Below are 12,322 nucleotides of genomic sequence, written 5' to 3' on the forward strand. Positions count from 1 at the left end.
GGGGGCTGGGCGCAGTGGCTCATGCCTGTAATCCAAACACTTTGGGAGGCTGAGGCAGGTGGATCACGAGGTCAGGAGTTCGAGACCAGCCTGACCAACGTGGTGAAATCCCGTCTCTACTAAAAATACCAAAAAATTAGCTGGGTGTGGTGGCGCGCACCTGTAATCCCAGCTACTCAGGAGGCTGAGGCAGGAGAATCGCTTGAACCCCGGAGGTGGAGGTTGCAGTGAGCCAAGATCATGCCACTGCACTCCAGTGTGGGTGACAGAGCGAGACTCCAGAAAAAAAAAAAAAACAAAAAAAAAAACCTCTCCAGGTAGAAGACTTTTTCTTTCTTAAAAAATATAGGTGGTTTCTTTACAACTTTCTTATCTAGAGACAGTTTAATTACAGTTGTATACAGGTTTACGCCTAGGATGTGTTCAGACAGGTGGAACCTGTGTGCTGCTTTTGTCATCCCACACTTATAGCACTCATAGTTGCCTCTGTTTATTGCTCCCACTGCTAGCTCATTGTTGAGACTGCCATCTCTTTCTCTTACTCAACTCTCCCAGTGCCTTTTGGCCACTGCAGCTACCTTGGAATGGCATTTTATACATACCTTGTCACCTACTTCTGCTTTTTCCTACCCAGTAGAAGGTAAAAGATTTCTTTCAATTGGTCCTCCTGTTGCAATGACTGTTATTTCTCTTTTTTGGTTAACTTTAAATCAAAACTCAAAATATGTTCATCCAGAGTGTAAACTTACATGTCCTGAGTAACAGGGATAGGAGACATGCTACCCACAAGAGTTCTGGGCCTTCCTTTTCATTCTTATTACCACCATCCTTATTATATCATAGCTTGAATATTACAAGAGAGATAGTGTGGGACAGTATCAGTTTTTAAAATGTCTTCATTAATTAGACCCAGTTATTCCACTTTTGTTAATGTCTCTCAAATTGTACAAGGTATGAAAAATTATATGCACAAAGATGTTGCGAGTGACGTTACTTTTAGTAGCCCAAATTATAAACCACTTAAAAGTTTGGGGTAAATATCGGCAAACTTTTTCTATAAAGGGCCAGAAAGTAAATATTTTAAGTGTTTTCTTTTTTCTTTTTGGAGACAGAGTCTCGCTCTGTTGCCCAGGCTGGAATGCAGTGGCATGATCTCGGCTCACTGCAAACTCCACCTCCTGGGTTCAAGTGATTCTCCTGCCTCAGCCTCCCGAGTAGCTGGGACTACAGGCGCCTGCCACCATGCGAGGCTAATTTTTGTATTTGTAGAAACAGGGTTTCACCATATTGGCAGGCTGGTCTCGAACTCCTGACCTTGTGATCCGCCTGCCTTGGCCTCCCAAAGTGCTGGGATTACAGGCATGAGCCACCACGCCCAGCCCTATTTTAGGTTTTGAAACCTACTGTCTCTGTCATAACTTGTCAACACTGCTGTATGAAGCATAAAATCAGCCACACACAATACATAAACAACATGGGCACGGCTTTGTTCCAGTAAAACTTTATTTACAAATGTGTTGCCATAGTTTGCCATCCCTGGGTCTAGGAAATAGTCGATAAACAGGTATATACAAACGATACATAATGTACTTATTAAAAATTAGGGCCAAGCACGGTGGCTCATGCCTGTAATCCCAGCACTTTGGGAGCCCAAGGTGAGCAGACCACGAGGTCAAGAGATTGAGACCATCTGGCTAACATGATGAAACCCCATCTCTACTAAAAACACAAAAATTAGCTGGGCATGGTGATGTGCGCCTGTAGTCCCAGCTACTAGGGAGGCTGAGGCAGGAGAATCACTTGAACCCTGGAGGCAGAGGTTGCAGTGAGCGGAGATCACGTCACTGCACTCCAGCCTGGGGACAGAACAAGACTTGGTCTCAGAAAAATAAAATAAAATAAAATAAATAATGAATATTATTAAAAACATGAGAATTTTACATTAAGTAAAATTTGCAAGATGCAAAAGTGTATGAGTGGGTGTAATCATGGCTGAAATAACACATCAAGCATTTGATAACAAGATGACAAAGTAAATCAAATTACTAACTGTGGTTACAGTGGGATGGGAGGCAGTAAATGGATGACTTTGTCTTTTCTCAATGTTTATTTTTATTTGTATTACTTTTATAATAAAAATGTTTTAAAATTTAAAAAAAGAATGAAGTGAGGGTGTCTAAGGTGTAGGAGCACTCTGTCCCAAGAAGGGGAGCTTTGCCGGCCTGCCATTTTGCCCAGACTTTCTTCCCTCCCCTTCATCACCCTCTGGAGGCCTGGGATGCTCCAGCAACCGAACCTATCCCCTCTCCATGAGGCTGTCTCTCAGTAGGAGGAGAGGCGGTGTCAGGAGTCACAGCCCGGCTTTGGTGGCCTTTTATCCCTGGCAGTACCACCATTTACATAGCTGTGTGCATGGTCCAATCATGCTGTGCCTCTCTTCCCTCTTCCATAAATTATGGAGTTATCAATGAGGCTGGAAATGAGCAATGAGGACTGAACAGTGAATTCATGTCTGGCTTTGGGAATATGCCAGGCAGAAGGCATCACTCAGTATTGTTGGCTGTTGTGTGACTGTCATCATTGCTGCCACCACCATCACCATCATGAGCATCGCCATCACCACCATCATCACCATCACCACCATCACCATCATGACCATCGCCATCACCACCATCATCACCATTACCACCATCACCATCACCATCATTACCATCACCACCATCACCATCATCACCATCACCATCACCATCATCACCACCATCATCATCATCACCATCACCACCATCACCATCACTGCCATCGCCATCACCATCACCATCATCACTATCACCATCACCATCACATCACCACCATCACCATCATCACTATCACCATCGCCACATCACCGCCATCACCATCATCACCATCACTATCACCATCATCACTATCACCATCACCATCACCATCATCACCATCATCACCATGATCATCATCACCATTGAAGACATCTCCAATAAGTGCTGTTTATTTATTTATTTTTAAACGCAGTAGCATTTACAACTAATTGATCACAAGCAGTTACAGATCTCTTTGTTCCTTCTCCACTTCCACTGCTTCACTCGACTTGCCTAAAAATAAAAAAATAAATAAACAGCACTTATAATTCTACCACCGAATAACTATTTTTGAATTTGAACATTTATTACCCTCTCATTTACTGTCCTTTTTAAAGCCTTGGAGAAACACAGCCATAGGGTCTTTTAGCCAGAAACCTAACCCAGCTTCTTCCTTTGACTAATGAAGAGACTGACATTCAAAGGGTTATGTGATAGGATTTTACGTGGAGCAAGCAGAGGTGATGCCCCTCGCAAGGTTTCCCCGAGGAGCCTCTACCTGATCCTCAAACTCACCAGACACAGTCCAATCTCATGGAGAACTTTGTTCATAGGCAAACCATTCTTTATCCAGATGAAATTTTGGTCATTTATTAAAGACTGTTCTATTGAACAGAAATTAAACTTTGATCAGTGAATTAAGTTCATTAGGAAAATCATGAACAAGTTAATCACTAAAAATAGATGGAAATTTCCTTAACCTCTAGTTTTTATCAAAAACCAATAGCAAATATAAAATTTAATAGTAAAGCATTCACCACATTCCCACTGAGTCCAGAACAAAACAAGAGCTATGAAGCTATCACTCACTTTTATTCAGTAAGTCCTACCAATCAAATAGAACAAAGAAAAGAAGTAAGTGTTACTAAGATTAAAAAGCAAGAGACAAGCCCATCAGTTGTTGGTGATGTGATTGACTTATCTAGAAAATTCAAAAGAATCAATTAAAAACGCATCAGAAAATCAGACTTCAGAAACATTTTTAGAAATACTTACTGACAATAGGCTGGGCGCGGTGGCTCACATCTGTAATCCCAGCACTTTGGGAGGCCAAGGCAGGCAGATCATGAAGTCAGGAGATCGAGACCATCCTAGCTAACACAGTGAAACCCCGTCCCTACTAAAAAATACAAAAAAAATTATCCAGGCGTAGTGGCAGGCGCCTGTAGTCCCAGCTACTCGGGAGGCTGAGGCAGGAGAATGGCATGAACCCGGGAGGCGGAGCTTGCAGTGAGCCGAGATCGCGCCACTGCAGTCCAGCCTGGGCAACAGAGCGAGACTCCGGGAAAAAAAAAAAAAAAAAAGAAAGAAATACTTACTGAAAATAACCAATTTTAAAAGGCCATAGAGCCAGGTGTGGTGGCACGTGCCTGTAATCCCAGCTACTTGAGAGGCTAGGGTGGGAGGATAACTGGAGCTCAGGAGTTCGAGGCTGCCATGAAATATGATTGCAACACTGCTCTCCAGCCTGGGCCACAGAGTGAGACTCCAACTCCTAAAATAAAAAAACGGTACAGAAAAAAATGATAAAGTGATGAAATGTCCCTCATAGACACCTGGACACTCTCTGGTTCTAATGTGTTTGTCTTGAGTGCTGAGCTGCTCGCCTTTCTCAGCCTGGCAGGGCCCGCAGGAGCATGGGAAGCATCCCCTGAAGAATGAGTGAGTGAGTGACACCCGGCTTTGGCACCTGTGCTTTCTGGCATCTGGATGTCTGTTGTGTTGTCCCTCAGCAGCTTCCAGGCCTCTCCCCCTTTCTCCTGCACCACCTCCCTCCAAATAAGGAACGCTGCAAGAGCCTCCTCACCCCCTTGGAAAGTGGACTGTGAAGAAATGCTGAGACCAGCTAGACCCTCTCAGGACCACAATAACCGCAGAGGTGTGCTGGCGCTGTCCTTCCCACCGAGGCAACTCTAAATGCCCCAAGGCAAAGTCCGTGTTGTCAAAGGGAAGTGCAAGGCTATCAGTAACCACCCCAGGGACACCCTCAGCCCCAGATGGCCTCTTGCACTGTGGGGGAGCAACACAGAGGAACGTGCCCCAGGACCTGTACTCAGAAGCCGACCTCTTTGTGACTGTAAAGAACAGGAGGGAATGAGGCGGGTCTTCCGTTACCTGCTCCTGCTGCCCTTAAGATTCCCTTTCGGGAAACCCTGTACAGAATTAGGGAAGAACCATCTTGGGGAGGAATGATTTCTAAGACACCTGCTCCAGCCATTATTGCTGGCAACAAACCACCATAAAACTGAGCTGTGTCAAACGATCCTTTTATGATGCTCCTGGGCTCTGTGGGTCTGGCAGGGAGACAGGCACAAGGGATTGGTCTGTCAGCCCCACCATGGCTGGGGCCCAGCTGGGGAGCCTTGGCAGCCAGGGGTGACTCGCTCTGGCCTCGACTCACACGTGTGGCACCTGGGACCTCAGCTGGGCAGTTGGCTGGAACCCACAAATGGGGCCTCTCCACATGGTTTCCTGCGAAAGTTGGTCTGGGCCTCCTTACAGCATGGCTGCCAGGCTCCAAGAGAGAGTGTTCACCCGGTTCCAAGAGAGCCCGGTGGAAGAAGCTGTATCACCTTTTTTAAAAAAAATTTATTGTGGTTAAAAAAACTCATAGTGATTGGGTGTGGTGGCTCATGCTTGTAATCCCAGCACTTTGGGAGGCCGAGAGGGGCAGATCACCTGAGGTCAGGAGTTTGAGACCATCCTGGCCAACAGGGGGAAGCCCCGTCTCTACTAAAAATGCAAAAATTAGCCGGGCGTGGTGGTGTGTGCCTGTAATCCCAGCTACTGGGGAGGCTGAGGCAGGAGAATCGCTTGAACCTGGGAGGCGGAGGTTGCAGTGAGCCCAGATTGAGCCACTGCAATCCAGCCTGGGCAACAGAGTGAGGCTCTATCTCAAAACAAACAAACAAACAAACAAACAAACACCACATAGCATAAATTTCTCCTATTCCATAGATTGCCGTAGACTGGGCATATATGCATTCATCAGTGGCTGCAGCTGAACTGGCGTGGGTGAGATGGATCCCATACTGTTGAGCCCAAGCATAGCATCCCTACTTATCAGGATGATCATTCTAATCACTGGCCACTGTCATCTCTGAGGAGGTGGAGGTGAGAGTCCGGCTGCATCCACAGGACAAGCCGTCCTGTCTGCTTGCTGCTCCATGCCTCCCTGCAGAGGACATTCTGCGGGGCATTATGTAAGACACGAAGATCCACACATGTGTACCCACTCCATAGATCCAGCTCCATGCCTCTTCCCCAGAGTTCCTTGTCTGTGGCCTTCCAGGGTTACTCCCTCAGGTGGGTTCATAAAGGAGTTCGGCAGGTAAAATACTGGACAGCCAGTCGCTCCCTCAAGTAGGTTTGCCAGATAAAACCTGGGACACTAGTAAAATCTGAATTTCAGATAAGCAATAATTTTTTTTTAAGTATAAGTGTGTCTCATACACTATTTGGGACATATTTATACTAAAAAATCATTTGTTTATTGGAAAATTTAACTGGGTGTCCTATAATTTTATTTGCTAAATCTGGGACCCCTACACTCAAGGCCCCTATCAGCCAGGCAAGCCAGATGCCACTGCTCCGGAATCCATGCTTATCCACATCTCAGGACACGCCCTCCACAGTGAGATGATAGCCAGGCTTAGTGCTCCCAACTGTACCCGCCAGAAGGACTTCCCTTGACCACTGTCCTTCCAGGCCACTGCTGAATGGGGCTGTAGTGAGCAGCAGTCCATTTTCAGCCAGCATCAACAGAGTGCACAGCTGTGAACTAGCCCAGCTGGTCATAAAGAGCTCCCTGTCCCTACCATGAGGCCATAGATGTGTGTTAGGGGAGAGGTATTGGTGCAACGGAGCTGTACGACATCGGATTCTGGGTCACCTATTCATGAATCTACTGAAGCTCTCTGAGTTGCTTTGAGGTTGGTCTGTCTGCCCACCATGGGGCAGTCCCAAACCCAAATGTACCATTTCCCAAATATTTGATTAACTGTTCTACACTCACCTGAACTTAATACCCAGCTCATGAAGGTCATCTTTGGCCACAGAGTCACTTAACGCCCCATGGCCAGGTGCTTAGTCTCTACCTGGGTCCAGTAAAACATCAGAAGTAGTTATCTGCTAGAGATGCTGGTCCTCCTGTCTTTGGGCTCTGTCGCAACTCTCCTATTTGCACTTTCCAGATATCCACACAGCATCCTTGTGTGCCACGCTGTCTCTAAAACTCTCAGATCAGGGTTCTATAACCAGAGTGGTAACAGTTGCTTCCATCGCAGTCTAGTTTTACTGTAGGCTGTGTTCTTGCTCTGGGCTCCACTTGAAACTAGTAGTTTTTCAGTTAACCCCTAAATGAATTAGAACGGTATTCTCAAGTGCACGGGAATAGATGTTGCCTCCAAAAGTTAGCGTCCTGCCAAGCTTCTTTCTTAGTGGTCAGGGCTACGACGTGAAACCAGTTCTCCCTTGCCCATAATAAATCTCTCTCTGTCTCTCTGTCTCTCTCTCTCTTCCTCCCACCCTTGGTTTGCCAGCTAGACCTGATTTTCACACTTCAAAACTTAGAGTTTTATCTGGTAACCCTGGTAACAAACTTCTTGGAGAATGATTTGGGAATTCTGATGACTTGCTTTTTAATTCCAGAAACTAAAACCCAACTCTGTCCTTGGGTATAATTTCTAATCTTCCCTTTCTCATGTGTGGTCCTGTGTTTGGACGGTAAACTCATCTGGTGGGAACTGTACTTACATTTCTGTTTTATATGATGATGAGGGTGTGACGAGACACCCATTAAGGTCCTTCTCAAGTCTTCAGGGACCTGCCGAGCCTATGATGGGTGACTTGGGCTTTGCTGCTTGCCAACAGGGGCTTCATAATGGTGCCCATCCAGGAAAGTAAACACACATGTAATGAGGAGAGGGCTATACACATGTAATCAGGAGGGCTATATCCCCTCCCTGTGTCTTCTTGAGGTAAATACTGCATTGCCTACCAGTTGTTGTTTAGACTTTGATGAAGCAACGGTAGAGAAAAGAGTATGAAGGCAAAGATTGGTCTGTTCAATACTCATTCAAAATGTCAGTCATCAGACTGGGTGGCCAGAAGGCAAGATTGTCAAGGGCTGGTGCCTTCCTTCTATGCAGGCACCTTCCCCACCCACCAGCAGCATGGAACCTGCTCCTTGGTTTGCCACCCTTGGTGTTCTCACCCAGCAACAGTGCTGATAGAGAGCACGTTTGTATGCATGGTCGTATATGTAGGTACATTTAACTTTTAAGATCTAATACCATTTCCTTTGGCAGGCAGGAACAATAGGATATTAATAAATATTAATGAAGTAATTATTTATTAATAATAAATAATTCTCCCTTTAAAAAATTCCAGGGATGTCTTGAGATTCCAGGACAGCTCAACAAATATGAATCCCAGAGGAAGTAACAATTGCTTCATTTCAATAAAAATGGTCCCCAAAAGCTACCTGTCATCTCTATGATTCTTGAAATTCTGCCAAATCCCAACCTATTATTGCCCTTTTACAGGAATTTGCTGGGTTTTTTCCTTTGGCTTAGTTTTTAATGCATTGTTTTATTGATAATCATGTTGTAAATAAATATTAGCTTACATGGGAAGCCATTCACAGCAAACTGTTAGGAGAAAAAAAGCAGATTACAAAACAAAATGAACTCAAGTTTATCTTCAAAACACACATATACATTTAAAATGTAGGAGAAGATAGGCTGGGTGCAGTGACTCACGCCTGTAATCTCAGCACTTTGGGAGGCTGAGGTGGGTGGATGGCTTGAGGCCAGGAGTTCCAGATCAGCCTGGCCAACATGGTGAAACCCAGTCTCCACTAAAAATACAAAAATTAGCCAGGTGTGGTGGTGCATGCCTGTAATCCCAGCTACTTGGGAGGCTGAAGCAGGAGAATTGCTTGAACCTGGGAGGCAGAGGTTGCAGTGAGCTAAGAGTGCGCCACTGTCCTCCAGCCTGGGCAACGGAGTGAGACTCTGTCTCAAAAAAAAAATTAAAATTAAAAAATTAGAAGTAAATAAATGAATATTAATGGCCAAAATTGAGTCTCATGGCCACCTGTAGACCAGTCACTGGCCAAGGAGAACGTGATGATCATGACTAGTTCCACCCAGTGATGTTTCATCACCCAGGGCTGGAATGGAAGCTGGGTAGGGCATGAGTAGGGAATGGATGATATTTGACTACAAAGTGGTTTTTTTTCTTTTTTTGCCAGAAATGTTCCCATGGCACTACAGACCATTTAAATCCCTGTCTTCCAGCTGCCCCTCCCCACTACAAGATCTCCAGCAGCAGCAGCTAGGTGTTATCAGCACCACGCATGGCTGATTCTTTGGGAATAATGGCAGAATGCCGGCCATTAGGATGAAGGATGGATGGCCACGTTGTTGGCAGACTAAAGGGCCAGATGCAGCTTCAGACACATGGAGGGTTCTGGAAAGGGAGAGACTTTGTAAGCCGAGTTTCCAGAAAAGACGTTCAGGAGGCAGGGAATAGGACCTTGAAGGATGCACCCCTCTCTCTAGTTTTATTAGTTCTTCTCATAGATTTATTTATCCTTATGAAATAATTTCCTTCACTTATATGCATTCTCTCTGGATTTGATTAACTTTTTAGAGGTTTTGTCATGGGGGGTTGAACCCATTTGGATCTAAACTTGAGCTTTTGGAGGATTTTGTTTTGTCATCTGTGTGGTTTTAGCTCCCTAAATTGAGCTGTGCCAATCCTGGGATCTGTTCCCCCTGCATCCTGCCATCTGGTGTGATCTCTGTTTTCCTCAGACAATAATCCTGCAATTGTTTCCTTTCCAATCCCCCGACTAAGGCTGTTTTGAGAGCTGCTTTTCTTCCACATTTGCTCTTTCTTACGCCTCTTCTGCAGGAGGCTGAGCTGGCTGGGTTCCTTGACGTGGCCCGCATCATTCAGACCAGACTCAGTGGCATCTGCTTGTGGCTGAATGGATGGAGGGTGAACAGGTGTCTCAGCTGGGAAATTAATCCTTGGCTAACGCCAGTGAGCCTTGTCACTCATGCAACATTTCATTTTACCCACAAGATTAAAAAGCTTCCTGAGCCAAACACCATTTCTTATACCTTTCGTATCCTCACAGCACCTAATAACATGGCCTCACATGGAGCAGGGGTTCCATAAATATTTATTAGTATCCTAATCTTTCACCACTAAGGTAGTGTTAACACCGATGATGAGCTTGTGAGTCAGGTTGCATATGACACCAAATGAGAGCTGAAATGCAAAAAGTGCAGAAAAAAAAGAAAGATGCAACAATATGACTTCTGTTTACCCTAACTTATCTCTGATTTTCTTTTCTGCACTGCTGGCTAATTGGGAACCATGCACATGAACAACTCTCAAGATGTGTGAACAACAAACATAAGAAGAAAGAACAGAAAGCAGCCTGAGGAAGTGAGCGGGAATTGCTCCCTTAACTCTGTTTCCTGGGTGTCTCAGGAGCACCAGACCTGGCCTGATACTGCACATATGCACCCTCCCATCCCCCGGACAGCACTGAGATGGGAGGGGCATAACTCCCGTTTTATTGCTGAGATACTCAAGTACGAGGTGGTTGAATTACTCACCCAAGGTCACGGAGCTGGCTGTTGGCAGATGTGAGCCTGTTCTCTGATCTGTCCCTTAGGGGACACAATTCAGGCCAGTGCTCTCTGCAGCCCAAGATGGAACAATGAGAAGCTGCCCTGTGGCTGATTATCATGCCTGGCTTGTGGCCTCTTCTCACTGTTGCCCAGTGTAACTCTGCATATTTAGTCCATCTCCACTGATTCACACTACAAGAAAAGCCAACTTCCACCTAGGAAACTAGTATCTTAGTCCATTCTGGCTGCTATAACAAAATACCATAAACTGGGTGGCTTATAAATAGCAGAAATTTATTGCTCACAGTTCTAGATGCTGGGAAGTCCAAGCTCAAGGTGCCAACACATTTTGTGGCGTCTGGTGGGGGCCTGCCTCCCGATTCACATGTGATGTCTCCTCACTCTGTTCTCACATGGCAGAAGGGGCAACGAGCTCCCTTGGGCCTCTTTGATAAGGGCACTAATCCCATTCATGAGGGTGCCACCCTTGTGACCTAATCACCTCCTAAAGGCCTCACCTCCTAATACCATCACATTGGGGATTAGGATTTCAACATATGAACTTTTGGGGGACCCAAACTTTCAAACCATACCAACTAGCTTGACTCTAACATGCAGACCTGGGGCCAACTTGGAGCACTTGCCCCACAGCTGGCTTTTCTCTCACCTGGCTTCTAGGGTGACATCTAGTTAGAGGCTTGGTGGTCACTATAGGGTCATAAGCTTGTCTGCCAAGAAGTTTTTAATAGATGCCCCTGAACTTGCCTTGCAGGAAGCTCCTCTGTTTCCTAGCTTGGGGATGGCTCTTCCCACACTTTTTCTCTCCCTGCAGTTAAAGCAATCTCTGGCAAGGCCATTACATAAGCAGTGTCCCTTGCCAGCTGTCACCAAGGCCACCGGAAAAATCAAGACATATGTAAGCCAGCAATGGCTCACCAGAGGCTGGACAGCCCCGCATGCTCATTACCCCCTGCTTGGAGCTGGGTTTGAGCCCTCTCATGACTGCCAGCCCTGGATTTTTCCAAAACATAAAAAACCACAGTGATAGGCATTTGCTGCAGATTTTTTTCTTTTCTTTCTTTCTTTCTTTCTTTCTTTTTTTTTTTTTGAGATGGAGTCTCGCTCTGTCTCCCAGTCTGGAGTGAAGTGGCGCATTCTCGACTCACTGCAAACTCTGCCTCCTGGGTTCAAGCAATTCTCCTATCTCAGCCTCCCGAGTAGCTGGGATTACAGGCACACGGCCCCACACCCAGCTAATTTTTGTATTTTTATTAAAGATGGGGTTTCGCCATGTTGGCCAGGCTGGTCTTGAACTCCTGACCCCAAGTGATCCACCCGCCTCAGCCTCCCAAAGTGCTGGGATTACAGGCGTGAGCCATTGTGCCCGGCCAACTGCAGATTTAAAACCAATTGAGACACTGGGGAGGTAGAACACAGGCTAGAAACATTACCCTGAAAGCCATCTGTCCCTTTTGGTTCCTGATTTCTTCCTGAGGTCAAGGTCATGTACTTGTTCCTATTTCCACATCCCACCTTGTATTAGTCCATTGTGTGTTGCTATAAAGGAACACCTGAGGCTGGGTAATTTATAGGAAAAGAGGTTTATTTGGCTTATGGTTCTGCAGGCTGTACAGGAAGTATGGCATCAGCATCTGCTTCTGGTGAGGCCTCAAGAAACTTCCACTCTGGCCAGGCATGGTGGTTCACGCCTGTAATCCCAGCACTTTGGGAGGACGAAGCAGGCGGATCACTTGAGGTCAGGGGTCCAAGACCAGCCTGGCCAACATAGTGAAATCC

Source organism: Homo sapiens, chromosome 17 (assembly GCF_000001405.40).
Source record: "Homo sapiens chromosome 17, GRCh38.p14 Primary Assembly".
NCBI classification, from domain to species: domain Eukaryota; kingdom Metazoa; phylum Chordata; class Mammalia; order Primates; family Hominidae; genus Homo; species Homo sapiens.